Source organism: Homo sapiens, chromosome 1 (assembly GCF_000001405.40).
Source record: "Homo sapiens chromosome 1, GRCh38.p14 Primary Assembly".
Classification (NCBI taxonomy): domain Eukaryota; kingdom Metazoa; phylum Chordata; class Mammalia; order Primates; family Hominidae; genus Homo; species Homo sapiens.
The window spans coordinates 203,141,716-203,160,762 of NC_000001.11; the positions used below are offsets into that span (position 1 = coordinate 203,141,716).

Genomic DNA, 19,047 nt, shown 5'->3' on the forward strand with positions numbered 1-19,047 from the left:
AACTATAGGCTCATGCCACCACGCCCAGGTAATTCTTTTCTATTTTTAGTAGAGATGGAGTTTCACCATGTTGACCAGATTGGTCTCGAACTCCTGGCCTCAAGCGATCCATCTGCCTCGGTCTCCCAAAGTGCTGGGATTACAGGCATGAGCCACCACACCCGGCCTAACCTGGATGTTTTTAATGATCCCCCTTTCCAAGAGACATCTTCCTCCTGCTGCTTTACAGAGACACTCTAATGAACTGAAGGGTAAGAGCAGTCTCCCCAGGCAGTCAGACTGGAGTAAAAATCCTAGTTCAGGCACTTAGAGCTGTGTTGTCTTGGATAAGTTGCTTAACCTTTCTGAGCTGCTTCCATTTCCTCTTCTGTAAAGCAGGATTCGTAATACCTCCTTCCTAGGGTTGCTGTGAGGCTGGGAGATAGTGTACGTTCAAGGGCTGGCACATAGTAGGCACTCCATAAGTGGGGCTGTTACTGTTGTTAAATAATCCAAAGTTTGTTTTTTATTTACCACTTGATGTTATGTGACCACTGTGATCCCTGTGGGTTCCGGTCAGTGGCAAAATGATTTGCTTGCACTATGAGGGCAGGGCGTGGTACTGTCAACTCTCCTGCCCATCGTAACCAACACCTAACACGTGTCTGACTGGCACTTAGTAGGTGGCTTAATCAATGTCTGTGGAGTGAAGAAATGAGGGAATGCTCCAATGGAGGAAGGACACCTTAGTGGGGAAGACTGAGTAAGCCAGGTTGGGAAGATGTCATTTGGATATTTTATATTCGCCTACAGAAGACAAAGGCAGGTAATGGAGAAGGAAAAGTTATTTAATTAAAACATCCCTAAGAGTTTAGAGGGTGGGGTGCACAGAGGGGTGAATGGGATCACCGGAGCTTGTACAGCAAGTTAGGGTGTGAGTATCCTGGTCTCCTGACTCTCACCTTGGCTCCCTGCTGTCCCCATGCTGCCTGTTTGTATGTGGGGAAGAGTGTTGACATGACTCTGCTTCCAGGGTGTGAATAGTTCCTCCTGATCCCCCCGTCTCCTGGAGGCCTTGTCCTGTGCAGCTCCTGGTGGGGAGCTGGCTCTGAGGGAGCTGAAGTGAGGGCTCCCCTGGGGCCTGGCAGCTCTGTAAATTGACTCTAGGGAGAAAACCGTTCAGTGTGTTTGGGGACTCAGCAGGCTGTGCCCAGCACACACACCTGCCGCAATGCCCTGTTCTCTGTAAACACAACACCCCCACTCACCATTACGGTCCCCTGGGGCCATAACTGGGAGAGCTGATAGAGTGGCCTGGATGACAATGATGCAAACAACATTCAGAGTGGCTGTGTCAGGTCCCAGGGGCTAATAACAACTTAGAATGAGGGGTGTTGTCTTAGTCTGTTTTCTGTTGCTGTAACAGAATACTACAGACTGAGTGGTTTACAAAGAAAGAAAGTTTATTTGGCTCATGGTTCTGGAGGCTGGGAAGTCCAAGAGCACAGTGCTGGGGTCTGATGAGGGCCTCCTTGCTGCGTCACAGTGGAGGGCATCACATGGTGAGAGGGCAAGAACATGCCAGCTCAGATCTCTTGTCCTCTTCTTATAAAGCCACCAGTTCCACTGGGGGGACCCCTACCTTGATGACCTTATCTAACCCTAATTACCTCCCAAAGACCCCACCTCCAAATGCCATCAGCATAAGAATTTGGGGATTAAGTTTTCAACACATGAAATTTGGGTGACACAGTCAGGTGTGAAGGCATGAAGCCCCCTCCCCCCACCCACCACCACAGTGGCTTCAGGTTCTTAGTGGGGTGTGTGTATTCACATATGCACACCTGTGTGTGTGTGTGTGTGTTTGTGTGTGCAGGGGGTTATAGCTTTTTAATCTTTATTTGTAAGTCAAAAAATAATATTCTTGGCTTCCAGACCTTTCCTTCAGTTCTGCTTGCTCAATTCCATGCAGCCCCTGCCCCCAGTCCCTCATTCTCCATGGTCCAGACAAAAGTCTGAGCCAAACTAATCTGTTTCCTGTTTGTGCCCCACCCATTCATCCTTCTTGATGTAGAACGAAGTTCACATGTTCAAGTCAACAAGTGTTTTCTGACGGCATAAGTCTGTCCTCAAGGGCATAGATCCACAGTCAGTGTGGAGACAGACACGTTTCCAACGGCCACGGTGGCAGGAGGCCTGAGCAGGCCTGGCCCACACCCAGGCACACAGCACGAGGCCACCTCCCCGGCTTGGAAGCGCAGCGCCATACCTCCTTCCACCTGTACTCAACACTCACTTTCCTTGTCTCCCGGTCAGTCTCTTCTTAACCTGTCTAGGAGTTACGGAAAATGATAAAAGAAAGGGATTTAACATCAAGACTACCTCTTACACACACACACACACACACACACACACACACACACACACAGCTGTTCCTTTCTCTTGTCTAATTTCTACTTAGTCTGTAACACTCAGCTCAGATGACACCTCCCCCAGGAAGCCTTCCTTGTTTTGCCTGCATGTTCCCACAGCTCCCTGTGTTCCCCTTTAATATAACCCTTATCAAATTGCACTGGCGTGTGAGCAATTTGAAAGTGGGGTCCAAGCCTATTCATCTCTATATCCACAGTGGTGGATAGTTTCTGCTGTTTCAGTGTTAATGAATCACTGAATGAATGGTAATAGTAGTGACGCTTGTGTGCTTAGGATTGCTAGGCCCTGTGCTAAATACTTTATGTGGATTATCTTGCTGAAATCCTTGTGCAATTTTATGAAGAGGTCCTAATAGTATTTTATACTAATAAATTAAATAATATATCCCCATTTTCCACATGAGGGAGCCGAGGCTCAGAGAAATTAAACTACTAGGTAACAGCCACACAGCTAAGTATAGCCAGAATTGTTGAATGAATAATTGAATGCATGAATGAAAAGATCTGTACTTGAGCCTTGACTCCAGTGCTTGCTGCTGGGTGACCTTGAGGAAATCACTTACCTCTGCGGGTCTCAGTTTATAGGATGGGCGCCATTCCAATCCCCACTGCGGAGCTGTCTGTGAGGCAGTGCTCTTGGAACAGGAGGGAGAATGGCTTCATTGTTCAGGGGCGAGTTGGCTCTGAGTGTGCCTGTGGAGGGGGTGCCCTGACAGGAAGAGTAGGGCCTGGAGAATGTCCCCTCCCTGTCTGTGCAGACTTCAGCTGTGGGAGAGACACCGACTCACACTCACCTCCTGTGCAGAGGCCCCAGAGCCACCTCATCCTCAACGGGTTCAAGCCCAGTGCCAGTGTGCAATTCAACTGCTGTGGGTTCCCTCCCAGCCATCCCCAAGGCATGGCTCCCTACCTTATGTGCCCAGGAGTTTGAATTCAGTCCAGTCAAGGCTGGAAGAAAAAATGTTCAAAGGAGGAGAATAAAGGACAGGAGAGCCCCTCACCCCCCACCAGACTTATAAACCAATGTGTATAAGAGGTGGCTTTGATGTCAAATCCCTTTCTTTTATCATTCTCCACAACTCCAAGGCCTAGAGAGGTTAAGAAGAGACTGGCCAGGGGACGAGAAAAGTGAGTGTTGAGTCCAGGTGGAGTGAAGTGATCCCCCAATCTGCCCAGCACAGGGGAGACTTGGGGCTGGGAAACAGGATGCCTGAACTCTGGGCCTGGGCTGCCATGGTGCCCACTTGGAGGCCACCTTCCCCGCTGACCTGCACCCTTGTTAGTAAATGGGAATGGCAGCTCAGCCTGACTTCTCAGGGTTGCTGAGGCAGGTCCGGCCGCCTGTAAGGATCCGGTGAGTGGTGTGTGCAGGGGCTGACAGAAGGGAAGGGGCGCTGAGAGGCACAGAATCCTGAATGCAGCCTGGAGGGACACAACACAGCTTGGGCTTTGGAGTCTGGCTGGCTGAGCCAGTCTCCCAGTCCCAGCTCTGCCACCTGCTTGCTGTGTGCCCGAGGCTGTTCTCTCTGAGCCTGGGCTTCTACCTCGGTGAAGTGGAACTAGTATTATATGCCTCACAGGACTGTGGGGAGAACCAATGTGTAGCCACCATCTCTCTCCAGTTTCAGGGGCTCATTCCTCTTTTCCTGCTGTTTGGTGGGAGGGAGGGGGATGGATGGATAGTGGCGGGTGTGTCTGTCTGTCTCTGTTGCGGTTGGGGTGGACAGTGTGGCCTGAGGAGTTCCTTTACAAGCCTGCCAAGGCCTGAATTTGGCAAACCCGGCCTTGGGGAAGCGGCTGTGGCAGGGCAGGGAGGTGTATAAAGCCCTGCACTCAGGTCAGAGTGTGTTCTGCCACTGCTCTGGGTATGGTGCCCGGGGCATCTGCCTCTGAAATGTCGGATGGGCACCTCCCTTCCTCCTTCCAGCTCCTCTGGGAGCCCAGGGGCTGCCTGGCACTAGAAGTTCTCAAGGAAGGAAGACTTGCAGTCTGGTGGGGGAGGGGTGCCTACATGTTGGGCATCTCCTCAGTGTCAGGGGTGGGGGAGGGGCCTACATGTTGGGCATCTCCTCAATGTCAGGGGTGGCACTGCGTGACTTCTTTGGTAGCAGATTTAATTTTATTTAGTCTTGCAAGGCTGGTATCAACTTCACTTTACTTCCCTTCGCCACTGTCTTCAGGGAGTTTCTAGGCTGAGGGCAAGACAGAATATAAGATCTTGGCCAGGCATGGTGGCTCATGCCTGTAATCCCAATACTTTCGGAGGCCAAGGTGGGAGGATTGCCTGAACCCAGGAGTTTGAGACCACTTGGGCAACATAGGGAGTCCCTGTCTCTAAAAATAATTTTAAAAATTAGCCAGATGTGGTGGTGTGATCCTGTGGTCCCAGCTACTTGAGAAAGTGAGGCAGGAGGATCGCCTGAGCCTGGGAGGTTGAGGCTACGGTGGGCCATGAGTGCCACTGCATTCCAGGCTGGGTGACAGAATGAAAGCCTGTCTCAAAAAAAAAAAAAAAAGAGAAAGAGAGAGAATACAAGATCTTGCAGATAACAGAGAAATCAGCACTGGCCAAGCTAAGAGGTCTGAGATTTCTGAGATGGAGAGTGCTGTGGGCACGAGCCAGGCCCGGTCTGGCCTGCTGCCTGGGTTCCTGTCGGTCCTGCCGGCTTTCTCTCGGCCTGAGTCTGCTGCCTCAATCACAAGTGCAGGGGAGCTACCTCAGGAGGTGTTGCTAGCATCATGGCAGCAGAAGTAATCCCACATGGTCCACAGAGGTGAGAATGGTGGAGATGGGCTGGAGAAGCAGCCCAGTAGGCCCCAGGAGTGAGGCATGATGAAGGGCCCAGGGAGACCCTCTCTGCCACCATTCCATAGGTAGAGTGCTTCACGCAAAGAGCACCAGGCCCAGAGGCAGAGGAGACTGGGTTCAGTCTCAGCTTAAACACTAACCATCCAAGTTGTAGCCGTAGGCAGGCACTGAACCTTCCTGGACCTCAATTTTCCCACCTGTAAAGTGGCAACCACAGAACCTGCTCTTCTTCGCTCACAAGCTGGGGTGTGCATTGGGTAGGATCGTTGGTTTCGTTGGTTTGGAAGTGCTCTGCCAGGGGTGTTGTGATGGACTGCTATCATTTTGCTGAGGCAGGGAGCCTCTTTGCCCTCTCTTCTCCCATCCTGGTTCCTGGCCTTTTTTTTCCTCGTATCGGGGGAGGTGGCTATCCATTAAGAGAAACTGGTCACTCTGGTGAATCTGTGACGGACCCTGCAGGGATTTGTGTTCCTATTTCCTTCATGATCCAAAACAATGCCTTTCTTTTTCTGGGCTTCCTCAATCACTCTCTTCCCCAAACAAGGTTGGAGAGAGCTCCTTTTGTGCCCGATATTGGGCCGAGTGCCACTGGGCCTTGCTACTCAAAGCGTGGTCAGGGACCAGCAGCCTTGGCATCTCCTGGGAGCTTGTTAGAAATGCAGAGTCTCAGTCCCCAGCCCAGATTGTCTGACTCATCATCTGCATTTTAAAAGGACCCCAGACGATTCATATGCACATTACAGTTTGAGAAGCTCAGACAATGAAGGATACTGGGGAATATAAAACCACAGTCCCTGTCCTCAGTTTCTTCACAGCCTCATGGGAATGGCAGTGCATGAAATACAAAATTGACTTTAAAATCTACTCTTATAGTAATTTAGAAAGCTGGATTTGCTCACTCCACAATGTATAAATGTTTTGAAACATTACGTTGTACCCCATAAATATATACAATTAATGTTTTTCAGTAAAAAGAAATAAAATTCCATGAAATAAGCAAACAAAAGGCATGGTAGCTCATGCCTATAATCCCAGCACTTTGGGAGGCCGAGGGAGGCGGATCATTTGAGGTCAGGAGTCTAAGACCAGCCTGGCCAACATGATGAAACCCCGTCTCTACTAAAAATACAAAAATTAGCCAGGCGTGGTGGCGGGCGCCTGTAGTCCCAGCTACTCGGGAGGCTGAGGCAGGAGAATCACTTGAACTGGGGTGGCAGAGGTTGCTGTGAGCTGAGATCCCGCACCACTGCACTCAAGCCTGGGTGACAATGAGACCCTGTCTCAAAAAACAAACAACACAAATACATGCTTTGGAGGCAGCTGGCCTAGGTTGCAATGACAATTCTGGCCACTAGCTGTATGACCTTGGGCAAGTTGCCCAGTCTCACCTGTGGAGATGGATCCCTTCCTCCTAGGATGAAGAGCAGAGGAGGGCTGTATGTGAAAGCTCAATGCTAAATGGTAGCTCCAACATCACGGGCGGAGCAATCGGCTCCATCTTATGGATGAGGAACCTAATGTTCTGAGAGGTGATGTGATTCGCTAACAGCAGGTCTGAGTCTGATCCCAATCCAGGTCCTCTAATGCTGTCACAGTGTTTTGCCTGTCACAGTGTTTTGTCACCCTGAGCCTTGGCCCCCCTAGCCAGCCAGTGTGCTCTATTGGAGACAGTGGGCACCAGCTGAGGAGGTTGGGAGGGGAGAGAGCAGTGTGGTTGGTCAGGCGTTTGTGGAATTGGAAGTTGGAGGCCCTGGGGTTGGACCTTCCAAATGTCCCAGACTGTCAGTGTTTCTATCAACTGGGTGAAGGAAGCCACTCTATGCCTGTTCCCCCACGTGCCCTCTGTGCCACTGCTCATGTGTCCGCCCCTCCCCTGGCTGCAGTGCATGTCCTACCCGATTCTTGCCTGGTGGCGTTCCCCAAGGCCCGTTACTACTGTCTCTCTGCATTTTTTTTTTTTAGACGGAGTTTTTGCTCCGTTGCCCCAGCTGGAGTGCAATGGCATGATTTCGGCTCACTGCAACCTCCGCCGCCCGGGTTCAAGCGATTCTCCTGCCTCAGCCTCCTGAGTAGCTGGGACTACAGGTGCATGCCACCAAGACTGGCTAATATTTGTATTTTTAGTAGAGACAGGGTTTCACCATGTTACCCAGGCTGGTCGCGAACTCTTGACCTCAGGTGGTCCACCCTCCTCAGCCTCCCAAAGTGCTGAGATTACAGGCGTGAGCTACTGTACCAGGCCTGCATTTTCTTTTTCCAGCTCTGAGCACAGCACCTGGAAGTTTCCATGAATGGTGGATGGAAAAAAAAGGCTTTGATTTGATAAGCTTCTTCCTCCCCCACACACATCATGAGTTTCCCCCATCCAGGGTTGTGGCAGAGCGGAGTGATTTATAGGACTTTGCAGAAGTGGAAGAAATGACGGAAATTGAGTTTATTGATCAACCCTCAGAGAAGCTGCCTGGCAGGCTCCTGGCCTGGGATACTGCCAGCAGCTAACATGCTGCTCTGTTTTACCCGTGCAAATGACAGGGGCACAGACCAGCTCCCAGAGGAGGAGGAGGACAGGCTGTTCCCCACCTCCACCCAGGCCGGGAGTTGAGGAGAGGGGCTGGTCTTGCAGTTGGAGGAAGTGTGTTAGACTCCTGTGAGAACCACCTAATTAAGTGGCTTGAGATATCGGGGCTGAGTGGTTGAGGCGGGACCTTCGAGTGGAGACCCTGAGCATTCTGTAGAAGGCCCCTCAGCTGTGACTGTTGGGAGCAGAGCTCTGCTGCCTGCCAGGGGGGATGTTGTTGTTGAGATGAGCAAGAAGGCTCAGAATGGCTTCCTCTTACCAGTTTCTCCTACTTTCTTCACATTTAAGGTGATTATTGCAATAGTTGGCTTAATCTCTGCCATGTTTATAACTGTTTTCTAGTCATTATATTTGTTTTCTTTTTTTTTTGCTTCTCTTTTTCTGCCTCTCTGGTTTTAATCGAGCATTTTATATGATTTCATTTCCTTCCCCAAATATTATTGAGTGCTTACTGTGTGCCAGGTACTGTGGTAGGTGCTAGGAAGATGATTTTGAACCAGACTTCGTCTTCGCCCTTCAGGTACTTGCAGTTATGTGCTCTGAGAGAAAAATAAAGAATTTTTCTGATTATCCCACATGGGGAAGGGAAGGGAAGGGAGCCAGCCACCAGATGATCTAGGAGACCTCACATTCCCACTTCCTGCTGCATGTTGTTCTGGGGAGGGGGATCTCTGGCTCACCTGCACCCACTGGGTGAGCCTGGGTGCTCCCCACCTCCCACTGCATCTGTATGTCTGGGCCCCTCCTCCACAAAGCCATCCCTGGAGCTGGGGCAGAAGCCCCTGAGCACATGCAGTGGAGCAGGAGGGCTGCAGCTGATGCTAAACTCTTCTGTGTGCTCTGCCCTGGCCTGGGTGGCTGCTGGCTGGGGAGGACTGGTTCCCGGATTGGGCCTGGCCTGTGGCTTCTGTAGGGACTCTGTACACTGTGGGCTTGGTGAGTGCTTATGTGGAGGGACACAGGGCAAAGAGAGCATCAGGAGATACCAGGAGGGTCAATGGAAAACTGCTGGGTCCTGGGGTCCTTCCTGCTGTTATTTGGGCTCTACACCCCTTTGCCTGGTTGCAAGGTGGGGAGAAAGGCCAGGATCGGGGAGAATATGACTGTACTTCTTCCAGGTCCCAAAAGTGGTGTCTTCTTGAGTTCTGATGCAGCAGGAAGAACTGAAGTTAGACTCTGGGAAGGACTTTCTAATGTGGAAGCACAAGCTGTGGAATGCGGAGCTGAGTGTGGGGGTGGACTCTTTCTTTGGAAAGATTTCCAAGGTGGTGAGCTCTTCCTGTCTTCTCTGTCCTCCCCCTATCTGCTGTCTGTTGAATCTTTTCCAGGGCAGGGGGCTAGGTGCTGTGAGCTTTAGGGGGCCCTGACAGCCCAAGCTCAGTGACAGCAGCTGCCTCCTCAGAGCACAGCATCCCAATCTCCCTGGCTCAAGAGGCACCTCCTCTTGTCACTCCAGACTGTCAGCAGGCATCCAACCTGCTTTCTAGGTCCCAACCCCAGCGGGTGCCTTTGGGCTGATCTCGAGTCTGCATGGGATCTCTCCAGTGGGGGTCGGATTTACAGTTCCTTGGTGGAAACAGGCCTTCAGGCAGATGCCCTGTACCCTGCAAGCGTTCAGGGTTCCAGGCAAGCCAAGAGATACTCTGAAGGGAGGTGGGAGGAAAGGCGTGGGCTCACCCTGAGTCCGCCTCCCATATCTCCAGTATCCTCCCTGGCCACTTCCCCAGTGGAGCTTTACTGGGGTTCTCCAGGGAGCGTGACTTCTCCAGGACCCTGTGTAGGGTTTAGTGCTGGGCTGAGCAGGTTCCCAAACCCCCACCCCAGACTCAGACACTTTCATCAGATAGATCAGGGAACACAGACCCGTTCTGTACGAAGGTTGAATTAGGTAGGAGAGCTGGCTGTGAAATAGATATGGAAACCATGTGACTGGCCTTCCAAAGTGAAACAGAAGTAATTTTTTGTTTATCTATGTCCTTGCAACCTGTTTTGTATCTCTTCAAGGGTCGATTGTGTATTCCAGTAGAATCAGGGGTGTGCTCCTGGTGGAGATAGCAATGGGCACCTGGTGCTACTGTTCATTGAGTGCCCAGATAAGTTACTGCGCCAGCCTCATCCTCACAGGGGGCCTGCCAAGCCAACCTTCTCCTCCCATTGTGCCCAGGACAAAACCAAGGCTCAAGGAATTGTTACTTGCTCCAGGCCACAAGCTGTTAATGGTGGAGTCACAGTTTGAACTCGGATCTTACCCCACAGCACACTTCATGCATGCATGCATTCATTCATTCATTCATTCATTCATTCATTCTTATACTCAATAAATATTTATTTCTCTTTACATTCCATCTTGCCCCCCATCTTCCTCTCCATGGGGCACAGAGCTACAGCATGGAATCCTTTCAGAAGGGACTCCCTTCCGGGGATGTATGGGTGCCCCTCACCACTGCCCCTGGGCTCCTCCTCCCCACAAGGAGTTCCGTGTTCAGTGCCCCTCCCTCCTTTCTGCTAGCGCTGAGCTCAGCTCTCTATAGAAGATGATTTGACACATTCCAGAAGAAGGGAACCGTGACCTGCTAGAGCCCAGAAAAGATCTCATTCAATCCCTCATCATCCAGACAAGGACACAGAGGCCCCAAAAGGGAAAGGGTCTCCCCGAAGGCCAGCTCACTCCTGGCACAGCCTGGACCAGAATGGGGGTCTCCCATTTCCCACCACAATGAGGTATTCCAAGGGAGGACTGCCCTTCTTTGGGGGTCCAGCATGGGCCCCCTCTGCTCTCCTGAGCCTGCAGAATTCTGCTGCTTCCTGGCTCCCTCCTGCCTGGGCCCTCCCCATGTGCCAGCTGGGCTGGCGGATTCTCTGCTGTTCTCCTAAGAGGCCACAGTCTGCAAAGACCAGAGAGGCCTATGGGAAGCCGCATAAAGCCATCAGCTCCCTTCCCACCATGGCGGACCTTTCCACTTCACTGGAAAAGGAATTTTGCCCCTTTTAGCACCCTGGCCATCCCAGTGAGGCCTCCCTGCAGCAGCTACTCACAGGTCATTAAGTCTGAATGCAGATGGGATGGTTTTTTCCTGTCCCACGGGATGAGTCAGAAACAGTCACCCATAGCAGGTGGGGCTAATTGGCCTTGCTCCTTTTGCCATCCCGGTCTTCCTTGGAGAGATGGAGAGAATCAAATCTCAGTGCAGAAAGAGCTGAGAATGCCAAGGTCTGGGTCCAGTTTTCCTGCATTTACTGTCCAGGTCAGACACCCTCCTCCTTGAGGACCACCGCCTCACGGGGATGTGGGTGCTGTGCTTGACTTTGGGAGGGGAGGAGGTGGCTGTATTGTGAAATCGCCCAGGGCATTGTCTCAAAGTGTGATACCTTGGCCTTCTGGCTGTGGAAAAACATTCCATAGGATATGCCCTGGACTGGGAGAAAGGGATGAGGTTCAGAGGCAAATATACTTTGAAAACATGCCTCCTCCAAATCTGAAAGCCTCCCACTTTGCACCCCACCCTCTGAAGCCCCCTCCGGATCAGAACCACTGAGCAAATCCAAACTTCTGTTTGTTGGGATGAGAACGCCCACCCAGAGAGAGAGAGAAAAGAGCTCTCTGCAGGCACACAGGTCTGGGGGGAGCTTGTGCTGTCAGTCATGCATGAAACCTTTGAGTGGGGGAGCTGGCAGGGAGCTCTGCCCTGTGCTTTGCAGCACATGCCGCTCTCATCACACTGGGGATCCCTTTGCTCAGGTGCTGGGCCTCTCCTGTGGACTGAGAGTTCCTTCATGGTGGGATCTATGTTTATTCTGCTCACGTCCAGCGCTCAGAAAGGGGCCTTGAATCCGAAGGACAGACAGTTGGGGAGGTTGCCAGAATAGAGGGTGTTACTGAGTCACACACAGGAACCTCATTATTTTCCCCACCAGGCTGTGGAGTTATTTGTCCTCAGCAAGTGACCAGGAGTGATTTCCAAGGCCCATTACACTAATGACCTAATCAATTTATCCAGCTCTTTTCTTTCAAGACACAGAGTGTCTGCCCTCCTCCCTGTAGCCCTGCAGACTGGCCCTGGGGTGTCAGCCCGAGTCTCCTTTTGGGGATTGGTGGGCACTGATGTTTTAGATGGTGAGTGATGCCACAGAGCCCCTCACAGCGGGATTCAAGGCAGGATTCTTAGGCCTGACATCCTGCCCCCTCCCCAGGGCCCCTGAAGCAGACTCCCCTGGGCAATGTTACTGTTAAATATTTGGCCCCTGGAGTGTGCCCAGCACCTTTGATTATATCTGGTTTCCTGTTCTCCTTGGGGAGGAAGAATTTCTCCACAGGAAGTAGTTTAATAGTCTGAAAGCCTTACTTTCCTGCTCTTGAGATCCAAGTTTCCAGTTACAAGTGGCTGAGATCCTTGATAAGAGAGGAGGCGGGAAGGAGGGGACCAGAGCTATGAACTGTCACTCCCTCCCAGCCAAGAGTGAGGGAACGGAAGAGGGAAGATTCAATCCCTGACTATCCAAACCGCAGGATGGTGGAAAGACGTGGACCTCTGCCACCCCCCGGCCCTCCACCTCCCTGCTCCCATGTCCAGTGCTTCCATGAGGAGCAGGTGATGAGAAACAGGGACGGCCAGGCCTGAGGACCCTGCTCTGGTCTCAGCAGTTGACAGGACACTGTGTCATCCTGCCCTCAGGCAAGCCATGCTTAGCATTTTCCAAACCCACATGTGGGTTCTCTTGCCTCTGAGTGAAGGCGTTTGTAAGAGTTGGGTGGCTCACTCGTACCTATACCTCTGGCAGGGGGTTCTTAGGGATGACTGAGCTCAGTTCTTCCTGATGCAGCTTTACTCTTGAACTGTCTGAGTCTAACCAGGAACACAAAAATCATTTTAGGTGTTTACAGCCGAGGGCCTTATACCAGGAATTGGTGATGAAGCAGCCGAGACACAAACAGGGAGAGTGAAGTAACCCAGAGATGAGTAACAACAGGAAGCTACCCCAAGGCAGAAGGACAAAGTGAGGAGGCGGTGATCCCGGAGCCCAGGGGCTGCAGTTGGCTGGTAGAAGCCGCACCCATGGTGGGCTTGTCTGGTGTGTGTTGGAGCCATGGAGGAGTCATAACCACTGCCTAGTACACAGCTGGGACAGGGAGGTAGACAGCTCCCCACCACCGCCCCATCCCCACTGCTCCAGCACTGCAGTATTTCCCATGGACCTGGATAGCCCCAGGGCTTGGGAAATGCAGCCTGCCGGGGTCAGCCCCATGGTGATACAAAACAGGGCAGGGCCAGGAGAGAAAGCCAAGGACAGACAGCTTCAGAACCAGCACACTCCAGTCTCATCCCTGCAGTGGTGGCTGGCTTCTTTGCACCTTTCTCAGTTTGGCTGTTCTGCATTCACCAAAGAGAATTATGTAGGACGTCTATGCCCACCCCCTCTTCCTTCTTTTTTCTCTGTCAGATGTGTCTTCGCTGGTTGGTCCCATGGTGTGTTCACCATCTGATGGCATCTGGGCTCTTCCTATTTATTATTATTATTATTATTATTATTATTATTATTATTATTGTTATTTTGAGACGGAGTCTCGCTCTGTCACCCAGGCTGGAGTTCAGTGGCATGGCTCACTGCAACCTCCACCTCCCAGGTTCAAGCGATTCTCCTGCCTCAGCCTCCTGAGTAGCTGGGACTATAGGTACCCGCCATCACACCCAGCCAGTTTTTGTATTTTTAGTAGAGATGGGGTTTCACCATGTTGGCCAGGGTGGTCTCGAACTCCTGACCTCAAGTGATCCACCTGCCTTGGTCTCCCAAAGTGCTGGGATTACAGGCATGAGCCACCGTGCCCAGACAGCTCTTCCTTTTCTAAAGTGGCTTATCGTTTATGTTCTCTGAGTCAACCTAACTATCAGTCCCCAATGGCATCCAGAAGGAGTGCCCTCTAAGGGTGTAGACAAGGAGAGGCCACCCCTCTGTGCACAGTCGGGTCTCCAACTAGAAGTGATCTCATCCCTGAAAAGGACGATTCATGAGGCAAAGGACCAATGAGGAACTTGGGCATTCTCATGACGACTGCTGGGAATTAGCATGAGATGAAGGCTTGCTTTTCTGGGATGCAGGCTAAGAGACTCTGGGGAGGTGAGTTCTGGCCAGGGAAGCCTCTGCTGGTCTCACAGTGTGCAGGGCAATGCTGGGACTCCAAGCCACTATGGACATGTTGGTGGCTGGCTGGTGGCCTGGTGGCAGTTTCTCATACATTTCATAAGAGGCCCTTGTCATAGCGGCCTTATGTCGCAGGACCTAGGTAGGGGACCAGGAGTTGTCTGATTCAGCAGTGGATCCCCTACAGCTCCCAGCACAGCAGGGAATAAACCAGGGAATGATTTTCCTCATCCAGGGCATTGTAATTGCCTTCAGGGCTAGGGTCATGCCTTTCTAATCTGACTGTCTCTAATTGAGCACCTACCATTTAATCCTTATCTCTTGTTCCCTGAGATGTACTCACGTTGCAGGTCCTTGAGCAATCATTTCTGAATAAGTGGATGTATGGTTTCATTAATCCATTTTTACATGTATTTATTCATTCATTCAACAAATAGTTATTGAGCACTGATATAGGTACTGGGGATGCAGTGGTTAACATGCCAAAGGTTCTGTCCTACTGGGGCTTACATTCTACTGGAGCACTGGAGAGAAACTAATAATAAATGTATAGATAGATAGATAGTTAGATAGGGGGGAAGAGAGGGTGTGAGAGAGAGGGAGGAGGGAGAGAGTCAGGAAATGCTATCAGGAAAATTAAATATGGCAAGAGGAGACAGTGATAGAGACTATTTTTCAGGAGAGTCAGGAATCTTCCCTTAGGACCTGACATCTGAGTGGAGACCTGAATGAACGGAGAATGAACCTTCCCAGACATTTCAGGAAATGAACAGGAAGTGCAAAGCCCCTGAGGTAGGAGAGTGCCCCAGGTATGTAAACAAAGGAGTGTCCACTAGCATGGTGATAGTAGAGTGGAGTTCAGGGAGAGTGAAGTGGAGTTTAAGGTAAGGGGATGGGCCCTTCAGGGAAAGAAGGGTCAAGGAGACTGGGGGAATGACAGTGCCCTCTGCTCAGTGGTCAGGATAAAAACCAGACAGAGTCATCTTGTTGACTCTTTCTCTCACCTGGACATCTGTCTTACTTCATTTTCTGCTGCTATAATAGAATAGCACAGACTAGGTAATTCATAATGAACAGAAATTTATTTGGCTCACAGTTCTGGAGGCTGGGAAGTCTAAGATTAGAGGGCCATGTCTGATAAGGACCTTGTTGCTGCCTCATACCATGTGGAAGGCATCACACAGACAGGAGCTGAACTCATCCTTCAGAAGGACCCCACTTCTGTGGTAACAAAACTAATCCTGCAGTATTGGCATTAATCTATTCATATGGGCAGAGCCTCATGACCTAATTACCTCTTAAAGGTCCCACCTCTCTACACTGTTGCAATGGGGATTGTTTCCAATATATGAGCTTTGAGGGACACATTCAAACCATGGCATTCTGCCCTGGCCTTCAAAATTCATGTCCTTCTCGCATGCAAAATACATTTATTCCATCCCAGTAGGCCCCAAAGTCTTAACTAGTTCCAGCATCAACTCAAAAGTCCTAAGTCCAGAGTCTCATCTAAATCAGATATGGGTGAGGCTAAAGGCAGGATTCATCCTAAGGCAAATTTCCTTCTGGTTGTGAGCCTATGAAATCAAAACAAGTTACATGCTTCCAAAATACAATGGTGGGACAGGAATAGGATAGGTTCCCCATTCCAAAGGGGAGAAACAGGCAAGAAGAAAGCAGTAACAGGATCCAAGTAAGTCCAAACCCCAACAAGCCAGACAACATTAAATCTTAAGATTCTAGAATAGCCTTTTACTCCATGTACCACCTCCTGGACATATTGGCTCTACTGGGCTCAGCCCATGAAGCAGCTCTCGTGGATTGGAGTCTCATGCCTGCAGCTCTCCCATACTGGAGTTGCATGCTGGTGGTCCTACAGTGCTGGTGTCTGGGCAGTGGCCTCACTCCCATGGCTCCAGGAGGCATTGCCCTGGTGAGGGATCTCTGTGGTGGCTCTGTCCCTGTGACAAGTTTCTGCCTGGGCTTCCAGGCTGTCCATGATATCCTTTGAAATCTAATTGGAGGCTGGCATGACCCCATGGCTTCCACACTCTGTGCACCTGCAGAATCAGCACCATGTGGACACTGCCAAGACCTACCTACCACTTGTGCTCTCTGGAGCAGCAGCACAAGCTACATCTGGGCCTGCTTGAGCCATGGCTGGGGCTGCCAAGGAGCAGAGTCCTGAGGTGGCCCTGGGCAGCAGAGGCCTGAGGTGGCCCTGGGCAGCAAATGCCGAGGTCCTGCCTGGTGTCTCTGGAAACCTTGCTCTAAAGGTCCTCAGCTGCCTTGAAGATCTCTGAAATACCTGTGTAGTCATTCTCCCATCATCCTGATGAATAGAACCTGGCTTCCTTCTATCCATATTATTCTCTTTAGCAAATGGTGTTTTGGCCACATCCTTAGTATTCTCTCCTGAACACACTTTTTAATTCTGTACATGGCCAGGCTGAGAGTTTTCCAAATCTTTCCATTCTGCTTCCCTTTCGATGATAAGTTTCATCTTTAAATCATCTCTGTCTTCCTTCACTTTGCTATAAATGGCAAAAAGAAACCATATAGCACCTTGAATGTTTTGTTGTTTGTATATTTCTTCTGCTAGATATCCCAGTTAGTTGCTCTAAAGTTCTGCCTTCCACAAAGTCCTGGGACACAGACACAATTCCACCAAGTTCTTTACAACTATATAACAAGGATGACCTTTACTCCAGTTTTCAATATCTTGTTTCTTGTTTCCATCTGAGACCTCATCCAAAATTCTTTACTGTCCAAATTTTCTGCTAGCATTGTGATCACGACCATTCAAATCATCCCTTAAAAGATTCAGTTGCTCCTTACAGCTCTTGTCTTCTGAGCTTTCACCAGAATTACCCTTAATGCTCCATTTATGGCAGTCTGGGCATTTTTTAGCCTGCTCCTCCAAACTCTTCCAGCCTATACCTGTTACCCAGTTCTAAAGCTGCTTCCACATTTTCAGGTATTTGTTAGAGCAACAACCCCACTTCTGGTACCAATCTTCTGTCTTAGTCCATTTTGTGCTGCTATAACAGAATGCCTGAAACTGGGTAATTTATAAAGAAAAGAAGTTTACTCAGCTCACATTTCTGGAAGCTGAGAAGTCCAAGATTGAGGGTCTGCATCTGACAAGGGCCTTTTTTTCTGGCTCATCCTATGGCTGAAGGGTGGAAGGACAAAGAGCACACTCCCTAGAGAGAGAAAAGAAGGTGGCCAAACTCATCTTTTATAAAGACTCCACTCCTGTGATAATGAAGCCACTTCTGCAATTAATGGCATTAATCCATTCAAGAGGGCAGAGCTCTCAGGATCTAATTACCTCTTAAAGTCCCACCTTTCAACATTGTTGCATTGGGGATTAAGTTTCCAACACATGAGCTTTGGGGGACACATTCAAACCATAGCAACATCCAAACTCAGCAGCAGGTCCTTTTGGCCCTGTTCCTAAATACATCTCAAAGCCATATGCTTCTCCTCAATTCCCATGCCGCCAGCTACAGCATCCCACCCTCATCTGCCTGGATGGCTAAAATAGCCTCCTGCTGGTTTTCTTGCCTTCCATCATTCCCTGCTGCAACACATTCTCCACACAGCAGCCTGAGCTATCTTTTAAAAACAGCAATTCGATTATATTATTCCTTTGCTTAAAATGACTTCCCCTCGTACTTAGGATAAACCCCAGAACACTTGCTGCAGCCCTCTCAGCCCTAGGTCTCTTCTCTGACTGAGCCGGCCTCTCTCGGGCCTTCACCCCTGAGGCTCCTTCACACTAGCCCTCTCTTGCCACTCTTGCCTCAGCACCTCTCCCCGATGGTGCCTTCTGCCTAGAAGGCTCTGTCCCAGATCTTTCCCTGGCTGGCTCGTTGGTGGTCCTTTGGCTCTCGGCTCATTTTCTCATCCTCAGAGAGGCTGCCCTGCCCACTCACTCTCTCCTGGGGTATCCTCTTATTTCGCTTGGTAGGTCTTTTCACTCTCTAAAATGATCTGGTTTATTTGTTTGCATATCTATTGCCTGTTTCTCTGTCTGCAGAATGATATTTTCATGAGTCTGTTCTCTTCTATATTCCTGAACCCTAACACCTAGAACCTGGCACCTGATAGGTGCTCAATGAATACCCCTTTAATAAATGAAAGGGTGAGTCTCAACTGCCTGATTGCCCCCAGCAAGAACAAGACAGCAACTAAATACCTAGGCAGCACATGCATGTGAACAGGTCATTCTGATGGCTCAGAAAGAGCTCAGACTTTGCAGGAGGAGTGAGGCTCCCAGGCAAAGCACAATGGCATCCTCACAACTACTTAGTCCAGGGAGATTTGCCTGGAGCAGGAGAGGCTTGCCTTCTGGGCCCTAGCCATGGCTCCTTTCTCCTGCTCCAAGCTTCCATCCCCCAATCCTCACGTGTTCTCCATCTCCCAGAGTGGCAGAGCTGGGTCCAATATGGGCTTTGCACTTGGACATACTGGAGTCTTAGAAATTCTTTTCCTGCTTTTTCCTGGCAGAGTGGCCTTGGACATGTTTTCTAATCTCTCCAAGTCTCAGTTACTGCAATTAGGAATTGAGAATAATGACACAGGTTGAGTATCCCTTATCCAAAATGTGTGGGACCAGAAGTGTTTCCAATTTTGGATTTTTTCAGATTTTGGAATATTTGCATTATACCCGCTGGTTGAGCATCCCTAATCTGGAAATCTGAAATGCTCAAATGAACATTTTTCTTTGAGCGTCTTGTTGGCATTCAAGTAGTGTTGAATTTTGGAGCATTTGGGCTTTTGGATTTTCACATTAGGGATGCTCAACCTGTAGTATCTAAGTGATAGGGTTGCGCTGAAGTATCAATAAAACCATGTCTATAAAGTCAGTGCCTAGGGCTGGGCGCAGTGGTGCACGCCTGTAATCCCAGCACTTTGGGAGGCCAAAGCAGGAGGATCACTTGAGCCCTGGAGTTTGAGATCAGCCTGGTCAACATAGTGAGACCCCCATCTCTACAAAAACACTTAAAAATAGCTGGGCATGGTGGCACACACTTGTCCCAGCTACTCAGGAGGCTGAGGTGGAAGGATCTCTTGAGCCCAGGAGTTCGAGGTCACAGTTAACTGTG

At 50.2% G+C, this 19,047-nt stretch overlaps 1 protein-coding gene across 5 annotated transcripts in view, besides 2 other annotated features; it reads left to right on the plus strand.

Moving 5' to 3' along the window:
- ADORA1 (adenosine A1 receptor) overlaps nt 1-19,047 on the plus strand; it is a 39,680-nt gene that overhangs the window by 13,990 nt on the left and 6,643 nt on the right. The window lies entirely within an intron of this gene.
- Nucleotides 1,729-2,229: an enhancer, noted in NCBI's record as "H3K4me1 hESC enhancer chr1:203112572-203113072 (GRCh37/hg19 assembly coordinates)". NCBI's record gives its function as "activates a minimal SCP1, AML or CMV promoter by ChIP-STARR-seq in naive H9 embryonic stem cells {active_cell/tissue: H9 hESC(naive)}" and the evidence as "EXISTENCE:reporter gene assay evidence [ECO:0000049][PMID:30033119]".
- Nucleotides 3,703-4,384: an enhancer, noted in NCBI's record as "H3K4me1 hESC enhancer chr1:203114546-203115227 (GRCh37/hg19 assembly coordinates)". NCBI's record gives its function as "activates a minimal SCP1, AML or CMV promoter by ChIP-STARR-seq in primed H9 embryonic stem cells {active_cell/tissue: H9 hESC(primed)}" and the evidence as "EXISTENCE:reporter gene assay evidence [ECO:0000049][PMID:30033119]".